Below are 18,553 nucleotides of genomic sequence, written 5' to 3'. Positions count from 1 at the left end.
TTTGTGAAAAATAAATAATTTTAGTACTATTTAATATTTATTACTATTTTAATTATGTCAATTTTTAAACTATTTTAAAATGCATTTTCCTGGTGTTTGCTCTAGGGATTACAACATATATCTTACCACATCTACTTTAGATTACAACTAATTTAATTCTGTTAAAATGTAAAAACTTTATTTATTTATTTATTTTTATGTGTATATATATTTTTTAATATACTTTAAGTTCTAGGGTACATGTGCACAACGTGCAGGTTTGTTACATATGTATACATGTGCTATGTTGATGTTCTGCACCCATTAACTCATCATTTACATTAGGTATATCACCTAATGCTATCCCTCCCTTCTCCCCCTACCCCACAACAGGCCCCAGTGTGCGATGTTCCCCTTCCTGTGTCCAAGTGCTCTCATTGTTCAATTCCTACCTATGAGTGAGAACATGCGGTGTTTGGTTTTTTTGTCCTTGCGATAGTTTGCTGAGAATGATGGTTTCCAGCTTCATCCATGTCCCTACAAAGGACATGAACTCATCATTTTTTATGGCTGCATAGTATTCCATGGTGTATATGTGCCACATTTTCTTAATCCAGTCTACTATTGTTGGACATTTGGATTGGTTCTAAGTTTTTGCTATTGTAAGTAGTGCTGCAATAAACATACAACATATATCTTAACTGACCACATCTACTTTAGATTAATACTAACTTAATTCTGTTAAAATATAAAACCTTTAATATTCATTTATTTTCTTCTTTTTTGTACTATATGACATAGATAATATATGAATATATATAACCATATTATATATGAATTTATTTAATAAGCCCCCCAAAGTATTATAATTATTGCTTTATACAATCTGTATCTTTAAAATAGGAGAAATATAGGACTTTCTTTAGTATTTCTTATAAGTCTGAAAGTAGCAAGATCTCCCAGTCTTTGTTTATCTACTCATGTCTTTATTTGCCTTTATTTTTAAAGAATAGTTTTACTGGATAATTACTTCTTCCTTGATAGTTTTTTCCAGCACTTTGAATGTGTAATTCCACTGCTATCTGGTCTTCCTTGCCTCTGGTGTAAAAGCAGCCATTGATTGTATTGTTAGTTTGTATGTGATGAGCTGTTTTTCTCATACCTTTTTTCCCAGATATTCTCATTGTACATATTTTCATAGTTAATAGTAGGAGCAAAATTACTGGGCTTTAAATCCGACTTTATTCAATACCCAGTTTTCCAAAATGGTTAGGCCAAAGTAACTTCTAATGATGGTAATGCTTTTTGTTTATTTTTTTTCCCGTAAGTTATTGGGGTACAGGTGGTATTTGGTTATTTAACCCCTCATCAATATTGGCTTGAAGAGTCAATATTAGATTCTAGAGTTCCAATATTCACAAGGGCCTAGTTAGTATTCACATGGCCCATGTGTCCATGCAGCCCTAAAATAATAAATTCATAGTTCAGACTCTCATGGCCTAGATCCAAAACTTTTTTTACTGAGACTCTTAAATTTGAGCTAATTCTAGGGATGACATGATTAGCAAATGCTCTGCCCCTGGTGATGAATAGCCACTCTTACCTTTTTTGGGTGTCCACTGTCAAATGCCTGTCACCTACTCTGATGCTCTGGTCTGCATCATTCCTCGGCTACCCCAATCAACATGTTGGAGTGGCTTTCAGTTATCCTGATGGTTTGGGGCGAAACAAAAGGGTCTACAGGTAAAGTTCCATGAAAGAAAAAAGAAAAGTTCCTGTCTGAGTGTCTGCTTCTGAGCCATGGCAGAGCAATTCATCTGTTTGTCAGTGGGTGGTTATCAGGTATGTGGCCAAGGTAACCAGCTATGCCAGAAGAACATGGCGGCCACAGCTCCTGCAATGGACATTGGAAGCCACAGGGTTCTAACGCCTTTTTGTTGTTGTTGTTTGAGACAGGGTCTCGCTCTGTCGCCCAGGCTGGAGTGCAGTGGTGCAATCTCGGCTCACTGCAACCTCCACCTTCCGGGTTCAAGCGATTCTCCTGCCTCAGCCTCCCAAGTAGCTGGGACTACAGCTGTGAGCCACTATGCCAGGCTAATTTTTGTATTTTTAGTAGAAATGGGGTTTTGCCATGTTGGCCAGGCTAGTCTCGAACTCCTTACCTCAGACGATCCACCTGCCTTGGCCTCCCAAATTGCCGGGATTACAGGCATGAGCCATCGTGCCCAGCCTCTAATGTATATTTTTAACATTCCCTAAATGTAGTTTTCTGAAAATGTTATAAATGTGTTTTAACACTTTGAAATAGTATAGGTTCCTAGTTTAAAGGGAAAAAAACTGGTATAAAATTTTGATTTTAGAAAAAAAAGTTTGACAATGTCTTAATTGTATATTACTCTTTTGTCCTATTTTTACAGAAAATGTATTTGTGAATGTCATCTTTGTATATATTTGCCCTTCCTTTTACATAAAAATATCCTTCAAGTTTAACTCAATTTATGTACCAGGCAATGAAACTTGTCTTCCTGGAAGGGCAACAGTAACTTCTAAAAGGCTGTTCATCCTGTGGTTGTATGGACGCCTGTGAAGCCTCCTTAAACTGTCACTCCTCTCACACTCCCAAAAGATGAAGCCTGCTAGTTACAGCAAAAGTAGAATAGAATAAGATGACTTAATCAAAGATGCTTCATGAAGTTTAACCTATTGTCTTGAGGTCTGAATTCTTGCTCTCTGAGGTAAGACCGCTTTCAGTGACATCTTACTTTTCCTTCACTCACCACCCACGGTTTTCCATACCCACCATGAGGCCTCCGAGAAAAATTTAGAAAGTAAGCACTGCCTGGGACGGACACCCCAGGAAAACAAGTTGTGGTACAGAGGCCCATGCTGATCCATGATACAATCTTCAAACACAGGGGAAGGCAAAGCTGCTCTTTCTCTCTTATCTCTCCAAGAACCAAGGAGATCTGCCTGTTTGGGTCCAAATGGCTTCTTATTTTATTTTTTTTTAGACAGAGTCTTGCTCTGTCACTAGGATAGCGTGCAATGGTGTGATCTCAGCTAACTGCAACCTCCGCCTCCCAGGTTCAAGTGATTCTCCTGCCTCAGCCTCCTGAGTAGCTGAGATTACTGGCACACACCACCACGCCCAGCTAATTTTTGTATTTTAGTAGAGATGTGGTTTCACCATGTTGGCCAGGCTGGTCTCAAACTCCTGACCTCATGATCTGCCTGCCTCGACCTCCCAAAGTACTGGGATTACAGGAGTGAGTGAGCCACCACACCCAGCCCAAATGGCTTCTTATATTTTGTATATAAGTACATGGCTAGAAAATGTCCACCTTGGACACAAAAATGATGAAATATGATAATTCAACCTAGAGGTTGAGACCTTCTCAATTCCACGAGCAATTTCTCCAGCTCACCCATGTGCCACCAGCTCCAGTGATTCCTTTTCATAGGAGAGACAGCAATCCAGTGGGCTGCCCTGCCTGTTCCCTTACATGAGCTTAGGTTTTGAGATATTCAGTCTGAACTCTTCTCACTCACTTTGGGAGATGCCCTTCATTTGTGCCTCTCCAGTCACACACAATGGAAGTTTCTACTGTCACTTCTAGCATAGTGAGCATTTCCTTTCTTCCCATTGACTTATACGTGCTGTAGCTCATTTGTGCCCACACAGACCACTGTTTCTTGGAGGACTGCAGAAGTAAACCCAAAGTAAGCATATATTGAACACTACTTCATTTGAATGGAAATGATGGGCAAATACAAATACTGTCATTTAGTGAAATCCCTTTGTTCTACACAGCCCATTGAAGGAATTGATGGCTAATTACTTCCATAAGTCCATTTCTTCTAAAATCACAAAATCTTAGAGAGAATTAACTCATTGCAGATGGTGAGATAATTGAAGAAAAATAATATTAACCCAATTAACCTTTCCTTAGGTTAACACAGATTTTCTCAGAGAACAGTAACTTAAGCTAAAGTTTTGGTTGCTGGCTAAGTTAAATTTAAACCTACTCCTCTAAAATGCAAGGGTTGTCTTCATATTTTGTAACTCATATCAGTTTGTTTTTGCTATGAAACAACCTCAAAACTTAGTAGCTGTTATTAGAAAACTTAGAAAAGTATTCACTAGTTTACAGCTCGGTAGGTGGACAATTTGGACTGGACTCAAGGGAGCGATTTTCCTACTCATCTCACTTGGAGTGAACTGTGATCAGATGGTGGCACAGCTGGAGGGGAAGGTCCAGAATGGCCTCACTCACCAGGCTGCTCACTGGGCTCCTCCATCCTTCTCTAGGGTGTCTTTGCAACAGGCTAGCTCGAGCTCACTTACATCAGGTACTCACAGTTCCGGGTGCAGTGAAGAGAGGGGACCCCCAATGCAGGATCACATTTCAAGATGCTACTTGAATCGTGTTTCCTAGTGTTCTGTTGGTCCATCTGTTGCAAGGCCAAACCTAGATTCGAGGGGTGGAAAAGCAGATGTCAACTCTCAACGGAGACCGCTGAAAATACTGTTTTGTGATCTCCCACACACCCTAACACTTTCCTATCTTATTACTCCTTATGGCCTTTCCCTCCCAGCCAGGCTTTCGTCTCCTCTCTCACAGTCTTATGCTCTTTATTTTGCATAGTTTGATTGGTTGATTGATCCATTCATTCAATAAATATTTGTTGAGTGCCTACCATGTACCTAGTACAGTTTCAGGTCCTGGAGACATAAAAACAGCAATATATAAAAACTTCACAAACCACTAAGAGAAAGATCAAGAGGACAAATAGTGCAAAAAGTGATGTTAGTAATAATAGTAAGGATTTCCACTGAGTAGGTTTTCAGAAGGTACATAGAAGAGACTTGACCTGGGTCTGCAAGAATGTGTTGGAGTTTAGCAGGGGATTGGGAAGGGAAAGGCCTTTAATCAGCATCTATAGGGGCATGAAATGAATATGGCCCAGGACTCCAGGTGCCTGGTACTGCTGGAAGGTAGAACCGTGCTATGGCAAGGTCTCCATCCTCAAAACACTAAAAGTTCAGTAGGAGAGAGAAGCAAGTAATCTTATGGTTACTCCAAGGTGTGGGAGGTGTTTTGACACTGGTGAACTCATTGAGGGAGGGGCACCTGTTATGAGGGGAAGAATGTTTTGATAGACAAATAAGAGAGGAAAATCTGAAGGAGGGGCTCACTAGGGCTAAAGGCCAGGAACAAGAAACTGCACAGAACAGGACTGTCTGCAAATGGAGGTGGACACACATGTGCTAGAGAATATTCAGAGTTCAGGGAGAGGCTTTTCGAGGTGGAGTGAGCTCAACTATGTCAATGGCGTGTGAAGCGAAGGGTAGGGATGAGGGGGGTCAGCTGAACATAAAGAGAGATAGGAGTTGAGGACAGTGCAGGAGCATAAGAAGGCAGGAGGGAAAGGGACTCAGCTGCGTGGGGGATTTGGCTTTCATAACCAGGAGACCAGGGCAAAGCAGGAAGGCACAGCTGCCCGTGCAGCTGATGAAGATAAAGAGGGGAAGTCCACAGCACTCCTCCTCACTGTCCTTGATTTTCTCAGGGGGTAGGAGGCCAGCCCACCCACAGTGGGAGAGGAGAAAGCAAGGTAGGGTCTGAAGGAGGCGAAACATTTAGATAAATGCTCGAGGCCCGCAGCTGGGAGGAGAAGACTGGACACATCGAAGAACCCCTGGCAGCATGGAAGGGTGGGTGCTGGTCACTCTCTCCAGAGCACCTCTGAGGTGGTTCCTGTGCTGCTGTCCCAGCACACTGGAGGTGAGCAAGACAGCGCTTCCGAGTCAGACAGGCCAACCAAGTCATTACCCTCCTCACCTCTGCTCTGCACCTGCCAAGGGAGGGTGACCACAGTGTCGACCTCATAGGGTGCTAAGGGGGGACAGGCGAGAGGCGTGGAGACACAGGCCTGGCACTGGGTAAGCATTCAATAGTTCTCATCTTCAACTGCAGTGCACGCAGCTGACTCCCAGAAATGTCTACGGATTGAAGGTAACATGCTGTGTGGCCCTTTAGTAAACAGCCTGCACATGAGAAAAAACATCTGAAGAAGCAAAACGTTAATTAAGTCTATGTAATGCTCAGGAGTGTTTGGGCAAAAATGACATTCATACTAGACTTACCTTCTCACATGGGAATAAGAATAATGAAGTTATATGAATGGGTTTCACAGTCAAAATCATGAGGTCTGAGCAGGGAGGAAGCTGCAAATCTCACTCTTGAACGTGTATTTTCTAGAAGATAAAACTGAGACCCAGGGTGGGGAAGATCCTGCCGAAGGGCATGCATCACTTGGATCTTTGCTGTGATCTGCATTGTCAGACAGCTTTGTACTTTGTTTAGTAAACCATGGGAAAGCATTCCAATGTTTGCAGCAGTGACGTGCTGTGATGAAAAGGGTATGTTCAAATAATTAGCTGGATCTGGAGGGAATCTTACTCATTACTTGGGGTTTACTTGTACTTTGTTCTAACCAGATATACCAGCCCATGATGATTAAATACATATATTCATACACACATACGTATACACATATGCACACATACATAGGCACACACATGCATGAGTGTATATATACATATGTACAATCAGTCCTGGTGCCAGATTTCAAGAAATTCTAAAATGCTTTCCCTGTTTCTTCATTTACATTCACTCGTGAACTTGGAACTGTATTTCTCAGGTCAGAAAATGAGGAGAGATGAGAAAAATAATCTCAATAATTGTTTAAATAAATGCCATTATATTAGCCACACTATTATTTTATAAAGTAGCACTGCTATATATCCATGTTCAGTAAAAGCTGTTTTTTTTTAAATCTGTTTTTAACTGATTATAATTCTACCAACTAACTGAGGACAGAGAATGTAATAACAGTTTGGATGTTAAGTTAACTCTGAGATTGTGCTGTATTTGTCCTAAGACACACAAAGGAGGAAAGAAGCAATTATTCAGCAACTTTGACCATCAAAACAAGAACGAAGAATGGTGAAGTTGCTCAAATTCTATAGTCAGAATGAGACAGGCAGATAAAATGATGGCATCACCTCTCATAATATACGAATGAAATTTGATATACTAACTAAAGAGATGATTGAATTAAACTGACAGTAGGCCATTATTTAATTCCATTGATAATATTCCTGCCAAGTGATTCATCGGGTAGCCCATTATATTTTTCTCAAGTTCTGGCTATTAAATTTTCTTCTTACAGTTTGATGTTGAGAACACATCCCAATCACTACACTCTCTTATGTTCTCCATATTTGAAATGAGCTTTTCTGTTAATAATTCCAATTTGCGATGTCAATGAATAGTAGTTTTCTGTGACAAATCTAAAATTAGCTCATTTTTTAAAAAGTAAAAATGTTCATTGCAAATTTATGACACTTGGCTCAACTTAAGTGAATTAAGTCATTACATAGTGAATGTATGTAGTTAATTTTCTGGGGTTGAATTATGTAAATTGGCTGTCTACACTATTCTGATTTATATCATATTGTAAAAATTTAGTATCATCTCAAAAGTATCATGATTTTCAATCAACTGGCATTTACTATTTCTATTTACTTTTTGAATGCACATGCAAAGATTTTTAGAGATCCAAAGAGACCACTATTAAATCAAATAACCTACTCTCATTTTACCTACTCTCAAACAAAAAATGTTTCACTCTAAATTTTATTTTCAGGACTCCTTTTAGAAGTCTTTTGTTATTTAAATCTCCTCAGCTCCTGCATTTGGATACCCCATGCATATTTTACATCATGGGAGAGCACTGCCAAAATCACCGTGTGATTTTGACTTCCCACTACTGCGAGGTCATAAAATCACGGGGTAAGGTAGAGCGTACATCAGGCCGGGTCCCTCAAAAACAATGACCTGGAGAGCCTGTCCTGCTGACTCTCAATGGGCATGTAGCCGGAATGAGAAATACACTTTTTGTTGTTGCTCAGTTACCGATACTTTAAGGTTGTTTATTACTGCTGTGTATTTAAAGCTGATATATTTTGTGGTGTGCACAGAACAGTCAGGGTTTGTTCCTAGCATAATTATGAACAGTGGATCCTCCCATTCACAAAAGTATCTTGGTTTGAACCACCACCCCGAGTATACCTGAGTCTATCATGACAAAAACCACTTCCCTACTACTAGAGGAAATGATCAAATGAATGAAAAGTGCTCAATCAATCCAAATAAAGCAAAAGAGAAGAGAAAAAGCAATATACAAAAGAAGAAAATATAAAAAATAATGATAGGAATAAATCTAAATAAATCCTTAAATACAATTAGTGCAAATAGACTAAATACTCTAATAAAAGTCTGAAATTATCAAACTGGATTAAGAAAAAATGAAAGCTATAAGCCATTTTGAAGAGACAATTAAAACCATAAAAATACAAAAGGTAGAAAACAAAAGGATGAAAAAATCTATACCAGAAAAATATTTGTGAAAACTTAAAAAGCTGTTTTAATTGTATTGAAAGAGTATAGACCTGACAAAGTAATGAGATATTGATAAACTGCCATTCAGAAAGATGATATAACAAATTTAAACTTGTATAAACTTAATAACACAGACTTAAATATATAATGCCAACATTCATTTAATTTAAAGGATCAATGCACAAATCCACAAAATCCACAATCATAGTAGATTTTTACCCATACTCTATAATAATTGATAGAAAAGTATATTTCAAAAATTAGAATATTTGAACAGCATAATTAGTAAGACTAATTTAAAAGAAATCCATAGAACAGTGCTTTTAACAACAAAAGAATACATACATGTAGCACCAAGCACACATGGGTTTTAAGATGCAACAGTAAGATAGTTCATCCACATATTAGCCCATTATGCAAACTTTGACAAATCTCTTCAGGTTGTATTTTAGAAAATACATGTTTTTGGCCACCATGAAGTAAAATCAAAAATTAATAGTGAATAAATAGGTACTATTGAAAACATATACAGACAGTCTCTGACTTATGATGGTTCAGCTTACAATTTTTCAACTTTATCATGTGTTTATTGTGGGATGTAGCCCCCATGATAAGTTGAGGAACAGCTAGCTAGAGAAATATGTTTTTGGAAATTAGGAATAACACTTCTAAGTACCTCACAGGTCAGAGAAAAAAATTGCTGTGAAATTTTAAAAATATTGAAAGTTGAATTATGTCAATAACAATCACTTATATAGCATTTACCATGTGCAAGCAGTGCTCTATGATTTGTATATATATTAAATTATTAAACTTTAATGATAATTATAAAGTAGGTAAAATCCATTTTACTGAGACATAAAGTGATTAAAGATTTTGTATGAAAAGCAGCAATACAGTAATTAGAAGAGATAATTATATATAAATAAATGCACTCCCATTAATTAAAACTCTTAGACAAAGTAGAGGCCGGGCGCGGTGGCTCAAGCCTGTAATCCCAGCACTTTGGGAGGCCGAGGCGGGCGGATCACGAGGTCAGGAGATCGAGACCATCCTGGCTAACACGGTGAAACCCCGTCTCTACTAAAAATACAAAAAAATTAGCCGGGCGTGGTAGCGGGCACCTGTAGTCCCAGGTACTCGGGAGGCTGAGGCAGGAGAAAGGCGTGAACCCGGGAGGCAGAGCTTGCAGTGAGCCGAGATTGCGCCACCGCACTCCAGCCTGGGCAACAGAGCGAGACTCCGTCTCAAAAAAAAAAAAAAAAAAAAAAGACAAAGTAGAAAATCTTTGAAAACTGTACAACAGCTCAAAATGACAGAAATAAATAAACTATCTGATTAGTCATACACACATAAAAGAAAAGGAATTAGTAAATAAATATCTTCTCACAAAGAAAAATTCTAGCACAATGGTTTGAACAGCGAGTTCTATGAAACAGGCAAGAAAAAATAATCTCTATTTTATACAGACTCTCTCAGAGGAAGAAGAAGAGGAAAGGGGGAGATGAGGAGGAGGAGGAGAAGAAAAGAAGTTTTCTTCAATTTGCTTTACAAGTCTGACAAATCTTGATATCAAACATAACAGGGTTGGTCTGAAAGAAAAAAGCTGTAAGTGCATCTCACTTATGGACATAGATGCCGAAATCATAATAAAATATTATCAAACTAAATACAGGAAATACAAAAATCATAATACATCATAACAAGTTGTTTTTCCCAGGAATAAAATGTTTGTTTAATATTGAAAAAATTAGTCCATGATAATTCACCAGATTAACAGATTCTTGGAAAACATTATGTCATCTCAGCAGATGTCAAATAATTCATTAGGAAATTGATTATCCCTTTATTATATACATATTTTATAATAATTATATGTTATATATAAAATTATAATATCCTCATATTCTATTAAGGTATATTGAATTTTTTTATATGCCTATAGTAGATACAATGATCACCTCACAAAGTTGTTCACATCCTAATCCCTGGAAACTGAATGTTGCCCTACCTGGGAAAAGCCACTTTGCAGGCATGCTTAAGGTGGGAACCTTGAGATGGAATATCCTGGATTACCCTGGAGAGCCTTACCTTCGAAGTGGAAACTCTCCAGGTTGTGGGAGGATGGCCAGAGAACCAGAGACACGGCTGCGTGGAAGTGGTCATGAGGCAAGAAATGTGGAAGGGTCCTAGAAGGTGAAAAGTCAGGGCAACAGAGTCTCTTTTAGACCTCCAGAAAGGAACGTGGTCCTGCCAACATCTTGATTTTAGCCAGTGAGACCTGTGTAAGATTATAACCAACAGAAATATAAGGTGATAAATCTGTGCTGTTTTAAGCCACTAAATAAATGTATGGTAATTTGTGATAGCAGTACTATTTCTTTGATTACTAATTAGCCTGCAGGATTTTTATTTAATTTTCATCTGCTTACGTTTTCGCTTTTGTGCATGATCTGTTCATAGCCTTTGCCCATTTTTTAAAAATCACTGTGGTCTCTTTATTTATATTAACACTTTTTACACTGAGGTACTAACTCGTAGGTGCCACACTTGTTACTTTGCCAAATTAGTGTTTATGTTTTAACATCAATTATCATATTAATTTTCTATGGGATTTTAACAATTTTTACATAGTAAAATCAAGGAAACTCCTTGTTTCTGCCCCTGGTGACATGCTTAGTAATCTTGAATTCATCCAAAGATGAAATAAATACTTAAAATTCGTCTCAGAACATTACTGGGTATTTTTTATTTAATATTTTGATTTAGTTCTTTTTTTAAATCAGTAGTGTAATTGCCATCTATATTTATCTTTTTCAAAAAATTAGCCAGTCAGGCCAGACAGGGTGGCTCACGCCTGTAATCCCAGCACTTTGGGAAGCTGAGGTGGACGGATCACCTGAGGTCAGGAGTTCGAGACCAGCCTGGCCAACATGGCGAAACCCCATCTCTATGAAAAACACAAAAGTTAGCTGGGCATGGTGGTGGGTACCTGTAATCCCAGCTACTGGGGAGGCTGAGGCAGGAGAATCACCAACTCAGGAGGTGGAGGTTGCAGTGAGCCGAGATTGTGCCATTGTATTTCCAGGCTGGATGATAAGAGTGAGACTCCATCACACACACACACACGCACACACACACACACACAAAGCTAGTCATATAAATATAATATTTTCAACAAATATCAACAAATATCCTTTCTGTACCAATTTGTAATGTCAAGTTTATCAAATTCTTTATGCTGTCCCTGCATTTTTAATTTTGTTTGGTGGACATGTCTGTTAATCCTAGTACATATACTGTTTTGATTATTTTAACCTTACCTCATATTCTTTGGTCTGCTAATACAAATTCCCCCTCATCCTCATTAGTCATCTTTTCAAAAATATTCCTAGTAATTCTCAAGTGTATACCTGCAGGTAAACTTCAGAATCATTTTGTGAAGTTAAAAAACCTGTCGAAATGTAAGATGATGTTACACTAAATGTGGAGTAATTTAACGATTTCTTCTATCCAGAATCATGAGACATAATACAAAATTAAGAAGAAAACATATCCAAAAAGTTTTAGCATTGCACTTATAGTTTCTACATTTTCAGTTGTTTTCCTATAGCTATTAATTAATTGCTGAAATTGTATGATTTTTTCATTACATTCTCAGTCACGTTATTAAACGTCTACTACTTTATTACTTTTTGAAGATCTACTCTATAACGGAGTATCTTCCTGAACTCTCATATTATTTGTAATAATTTTAAGTTATTTCCCTTAAGTTGGATGAGGTCATATATTATTTTAATTAAAATTAATTAAAAACTAGATTGCCTCAAATAAATCTCATTTCTTCTTTTTTTCCCCAAACTTCATTATTTATATAATTTACTTAGCACTTAAAATATACTGCAGTATATATTTAACTTAATACATAGGCAGAATGAAACCTTTATTAGAGCAGATTTACCTGCCCCATTGGTTCACTATCATCCCAAAGCCTTATGCATTTTTGTCATCCATAAAATTGATCTTGATATTTAGTGTCAAAGTTAAGATAGTGCAAAAAGTTTTTAAGTGTTTGCAAGATTCTAAAATTCAGAATCTACAAAAATCTAGAATGTTTATTTTTTCTGACCTGTAGACTTGTTTATCAAATAAGTATCATTTTATTCTCCTCTCAGTGTTTATTGTTTGTTTGTCTTGTTTGATTGCATGGGCAAGCATTTCTACAATGGTAGAACATGATAGAGGTGTGGGGATCATGCTGTTGTCTCAGGCTTCATGAGGACTTCTCAGGAATGGAGACTGCAGAGTCATGGGCAGCCTAAGGTAAGCGGCCTGGTGGCTGTATTCACTGAAAGGCCTAGGAGCAGAATTCTGCCTTTGAAATTGTTGAAAACTTTATCCCAAAGGCCAGCTATAGTTCTGATCTGTTTTTCTGGCTGATTTGGCAGCATCTTTCCCAGAGGTATCACTGCAATAAGCAGTGCTGGAGGGTACCTTGGAGCCCAGACCTGGAGCCAGAACAAGGTATAACTCCTGGCCAGACTGTCTCTAGCTGGAGGACCTCAGCCCCAGTGCCTAATCTTTTGATTTTGACTCTCTCCAACTATAGGATTGGAGAGAAAATGAAACCAACTATGTAGAGTGAAGGTGAAGAACAGGTCAAAGTATGCAAGGACCTGGATCAGGGCTTGGCACATCGTGTGTGTGTATTGAGTGTGCATATGTTTTACATGTAGCATAGATGGACACAGTGTGTGAATGTGAATATATTGTATATGTGTGTCTATATAGTATATGCAAGATAGCATTATGTGAATATACATAGTATGTGCATATATGTAGTATGTTCAGGAAAATAAATATATATATATCCATTTGAGAGATTTAAGAATCAATTATTTTACAGAAGAAAGGAGAAACTGGCCAGGCACTTTGGATCCCTTTGTTCAGACCTGTGTGGTCACCATGGGTCTGAGTGCAGCCGGTGCAGGAGCTCATGGTGAACCGCCACCTCCTCTGCTCTGTGTGTCCTCAGGGCAGCCAGAGACCTGAGCTGCAGGCTTGTTTTCTATTTCTAATCAGTAAAATTCCCTCTTACTTTTTCATTTTTTCTGGCTTTCATTATCTTTTTCTTGTTCTTTCTCTTTCTCTTTCTCTTGCAAACTCTCCCAAGGTGGAAAGCAGCTGTTACTGACGCCCAGGTGGGTATCTTCCCCCTGAGATGCAGTGAGGACGTGAGGCTGCGAGGATATGGCTGTCACAGGGTCCTTAGGATGTCACTTCTCCAGCAGGAAACCTCCATGATGGCTGGCGGTCCCTCTGCTTTGGTTTTGTTTGCTCCCACTGGGCTCATTCCACCCACTCGGCCTGGCAGGCTGTGCTTGGCTCTCGCTACCAGCCCAGATCCCACACCTGCCAAGGGTGAGCCAGGCATGGAGCAGCAAGGGGGTGTAAGACCGAGCAAGCACAGGTCCAGCCACTGCGCAGTGCCAGTGGGTGGGCAGCTCCTGGTACCAGCACAGATGCCAGCTCTGTGTGACGCTGCAACTGGACCAGGCGTATCGCAAACAGTTTCTACTGAAGGCGCCAGGGAACATGGTAGTGCCCAAAAGCTTGAAGATGCCAAAAACCACAGAACCCCAGAGAGGGTGTTACAGCATGTCACAGCTCAGGCTTGTGGAGCCCCAAGGTCTGGGATCCCAGAAGGGCTTCAGCTCTTCTCTCCTTTTTGCCACCTGAAGCGTGGTGAGCAGGGAGGTGTTTCCAGTGTTTGTGTGTTTCAGTCTGTTTGTGTTACAGCTCCTTCAGTCCTGCTATGCCTCCCCAGCCTGCAGCCGCTGGGCTGACCTGGCCCTGCTACTGCTTCCTGTCGTGTGGGGCAGCCACCCGGCACTGTTGGAGGGTGTGAGGACTATAGTGTTACAGCAGCTCTGGCTCAGGGAATCCTGAGGTCTGGGCCCCCAGAAGGGGTGCCACTCTTCACTCCCACAGTCCAGGAGCTTGTCATTGCCCACAGCTCAGCCAGCCATCCAGGAATGGGTAACAGCTCTTTTCGCTCCTGTTGTTCAGTAGGTCCCAAGTTCTTGTCCCATGTCCAGGAAGAATGAAGCTACATGGACAACTGGAGGTTGAGCAATGTGAGGAGGAGCTTTACTGAGTGACAGAACAGGTCTCAGCAGAGAGGGGACCTGAAGTGTGTAGCTCCTATCTGTAGACAGGTCACCCCTAAGAGTATAGAGACTCAAAGTGGCTAACTCCTATCCACAGGCAGGTCATCCCAAAGAGTGTAGTGGAGTCCAAATTTGGGTAGCTCCAATCTATGGGTGGGTTGTCCTGAAGAGTTTAGAAAAGTCTTGAAGTGGGTAGCTGCTATCTACAGGCAGATCATCCAGAGAGTTTAGAGGCATCCTGAAGTGGGTAGCTCCTATCCACAGGCAGGTTGTCCTGAAGAGTATAGAGGAGACTTGAAGTGGATAGCTCCCATCTGTGGGCAGTCATCCCTAAGAGTGTAGAGACTTGAAATGGGTAACTCCTCTCCACAGGCAGGTCATCCTGAAGAATGTAGAGGACTCCCAATGTGGGTAGCTCCAATCCATGTGCAGGTTTTCCTGAAGAATATAGAGAAGTCCCGATGTGGGTAGCTGCTATGTGTGGACAGGTTGTCCTGAAGAGTGTAGAGGAGACCAGAAATGGGTAGCTCCTATCCACAGGCAGGTCATCTCAAACAAAGTAGAGGAATCCTGAAGTGGGTGGCTCCTATCTGCAGTCAGGTCGTCCCAAAGAGCATGGAGTCTAGCTGAGTCAGGGATTTTTATGGATTCAGAAGTGAGGAAGTACGTGCTGATTGGTCCATGGGAAGCCATAGGTGGGCCTGGAAAAAGCACCATAAGTTCTCACTCCAGGACGCAGACTCTACCCAGAACCGGAAGCCTAGCCTCCAGGCTCCAGGTGGTTCCTGCCTTAAAGGTGGGGTTTCACCAGGGATCTGCCCTTTCCTGCCTAGGAACATCTCTGCCTCCCACAACCATCAACATGCCTTCTGCAGTGTCCAGGCTGTCCGTGCTGTGGGGTGCCTGCAGGCCACTGCTGAGCCACCTTGAGCCATCCCATCCTCTCTCCCTGAGCTCGCTGGCACCCAAAGTCTTCAGAGGAGGCCAAGGCAGAAGGGGGCTGGCATGTCAGCACTGCCCTAAACAGGCACACACCTGGCTGGGTTGCAACAGCACTCAGACTTGGCCACAACTTTGCTCTGCACTGGCTCATCACCTGTCTTCATGCAGGTGCTAGGAGTGGGGAGAGGCCAGGGAGCGGGAGCAGGCACTTCCAAGCCTGTGGGAGCAGGGGCTTCCCAGGCTCCTGAGAGTGCAGGGATGCCCAGGTCTAGAGCCACAGCTGGGTGGCTGCAGCTGTGCCCAGGAGTGTGGGGCTCCTGCACTGCTAACTCAGTAGGGGGAGGGGCTCCCACCTGCTCTCGGCCCCCACCAGCTCCACAGAGTATGCAGCCCTGGCCATGCCTCCCCCACTCAGCTGGCATCTCCACAGTGGCTGTTCCAGATGGGCTGCCACCACCATCACCACTGGGATGGGCTCGGCTGTCCCAGCGGGAAGGAAGCACTAGGAGCAGGAGGAGCAGTGCAGCTATGAGGGTGAGTTGGCAGGAACTGGGGTTCACTTGGGTGTCTCTGGGGGCTCACACTGGCCTTGGATGCTCTTCCCAGCATGAAGCAGGCATCCTGCAAGGGCTGCTGGACTGAGCTGAGGGGCCCCTTTAGTGCCAGCAGCTGGGCAGCCGGGCCGACCAGGACCAACATCGATTTCTAACGTCCTGCAGCTCCCGACCACAGACATGGGGCTGCCTTTGTCCAGTGCTCCATTTTGGACACTTTATGATTCTTAAGGGAATCTTAATGAAACAGTCCTGTGGGTCGCAGGAAGTGAAGGGGCCACGGGTCTCCACATTGTCATTTACCAACAATGAGGACTGCACAGACAAGGGGTAAAAAGCAACCACACAACGGGGTGCAAAAGAAGAGAAATGGCACGGAACACCAGTGTAGCCTCAACTCTTCATACCATGATGATTAACACACTTTCAGCTCTGCAGATTGTATGTGAGTACATGCTCACCTTCAACAGAAAGGTAGTCCCAAGCATGAAGACAGGTGATGAGCCAGGAAATAGAAATGGAAGGGACCCACCACCCTGCATGTGGAGATGAGATCCAGGGTGCACGTGCGTATCCTCAGGAAAGTAAAGCAAACTTTGCTGCTAGAACAGAACTGCATGTGGAAAATAGGAATCTATGGTCAATTCTCATCATTATCAACAAAAGTCAAGAGTATTTTTAAAAAGTCACCTTCTTTTTAAATCCACAGGGGTAGCAATCTAGACAATTCAAGAGTCTGGGTATATTAGACAAGTATATCCACCCTCAGGGAGTGGCGAGACACCAACTGACACCTGTGATCACCTGGTAAGATGTGGGCAGGAAGCCTGGTTAAAGACAAAGGTGATTAGATTCCAGCAGGAATGTCTGGAGACGTGGCAGGAAGGGCTGTCTGTGTAAACCTGTTTCCCTTTTTCACCTTTGGGTTTCATGGGCTTGTCCACAAATTGCATTGCCTGTAGAATTATCGAAAAGTCAAAATCAAATCTCTGGCAAAAATAAGCAATGATTTTGGATCACATATTAAATCAGAGCACACAAACTATTTCCCGACTCTCTGAGACATGCCCTGAGATGTCAGAGGCAGAGTCTACAACATCTCTCACGTCTGGCTTCACCCACCCCATCACAGCAACAGTCCTTCTGGGGCTTCAGCTACAGATTCTCTAAGTCTATAGAAAGATTAATGGGTCTTTGAATTAGACTCATTAAATAATCAATAAAATGAATAAAATATTTCCTAATAGTTTTCATGTATCTACATCCCTCAGAATTATTCGAAATACACAAAAAACATCCTCTCAGCAGCCTTTAGAAACTTTATGGGATACCCGAGGGTTTTCGGAATGTGCACCCTGTGGTTTATGTTAGGGAACCCGCTCCAGGGAAACGTGATCTGGACGGTTCCCAGGGACTGAGGGTGGCCACGTTCCAACACCAAGCTGTTACTGTAGGTAGCTAGTCAGACATGAGCAGGGCAGGACAGGGGCCCCCACCACCCCCAGGAATGTCAGGCGGCCATCAGGTGATGGTCAGGCAGCTGTTACACTGTCTCTCTAAAATAATAATTGGTCGCAGCCAGCGCTAGGGAAAGGCAGTCTCCCAATAGATACAAAAAAAACTGAAACGTAATCAGCACTTCCCAGTAAGATCTCAGGTTCTGGGTGAGTGGGCTCAAGCATGCATATTAAGAGACAAAATAGCAGCTTTTAACTGGTAAACGACCTTCTAGGAACATTGGACCGGTAGTGGAAGAACGCCTCGAAGTGAGTATGCGCACAACTCCAGTGAACACACTGCGCATGCTCCCCTCCCAAAGGCTGGCAGGCCCCAGCGCACGCAGACAGCCCCACCCACGCGAAAAATCGCGAGAAGGGACGCAGGACCCCGGAAGTACGCCAACATATAAAACCCCAAGTCAAAGGTCAAACTGCGCACTTGATCTCTCGAGTCACCTTCCTGGCTCCCTTCCAAGTGTATTTTACTTCCTTTGGTTCCTGCTTTAAAACCTTTTAATAAACATTCACTCCTGCTCTGAAACTTGCCTCGGTATCTCCTTCTACCTTACGCCTCCTTGGTCAAATTATTTCTTTGGAGGAGGCAAGAACTAAGGTTGCTGCAGACCTGTGAGAATGCGCCGCCGCTAACAAAACCAAACTGGGCACACGCGGTCTCCATGAATGCGTGCACGGGAGGTCGCTGCCTTATCCCCACTTCACAGATGGAGACTGGGAGGGACATAGTTTCGAATGGAGTAACAGTGAGGGGATGGAGAGGCCATAATTTACATACAGCTCTGTTTGACTCAGACGCCTGTGCTGGCCGCCCCTGTGCCTCTCCCCTGCTGGTGCCACGGTGGCTTCCGTGGACTGGGCTGATCCACGTCATGCCGTGGCCATGAGAAGTTCCGGGCTCCACGGCTCCTCTTGTGACACTCCTC

The 18,553-nt window shown here is 42.0% G+C and overlaps 2 long non-coding RNA genes across 2 annotated transcripts; both read right to left on the bottom strand.

Annotated features, from left to right (window-relative positions):
- Nucleotides 1-618: 618 nt before the first annotated feature.
- On the bottom strand, nucleotides 619-9,460 carry LOC107983966 (uncharacterized). The gene is made up of 6 exons (XR_001742552.2): nucleotides 6,128-9,460; nucleotides 4,338-6,048; nucleotides 3,529-3,680; nucleotides 2,484-2,615; nucleotides 1,583-1,716; nucleotides 619-651 (listed from the first exon to the last, which is right to left on the bottom strand). It is a non-coding gene; the product is annotated as an uncharacterized LOC107983966 (long non-coding RNA).
- Nucleotides 9,461-15,214: 5,754 nt separating this feature from the next.
- On the bottom strand, nucleotides 15,215-17,889 carry LOC105374620 (uncharacterized). The gene is made up of 4 exons (NR_136207.1): nucleotides 17,839-17,889; nucleotides 16,918-17,069; nucleotides 16,575-16,726; nucleotides 15,215-15,318 (listed from the first exon to the last, which is right to left on the bottom strand). It is a non-coding gene; the product is annotated as an uncharacterized LOC105374620 (long non-coding RNA).
- Between the last annotated feature and the right edge of the window lie 664 nt (nucleotides 17,890-18,553).

Source organism: Homo sapiens, chromosome 5, assembly GCF_000001405.40.
Source record: "Homo sapiens chromosome 5, GRCh38.p14 Primary Assembly".
Taxonomy (NCBI): Eukaryota; Metazoa; Chordata; class Mammalia; order Primates; family Hominidae; genus Homo; species Homo sapiens.
This window is presented reverse-complemented; position numbering and strand designations above follow the sequence as displayed.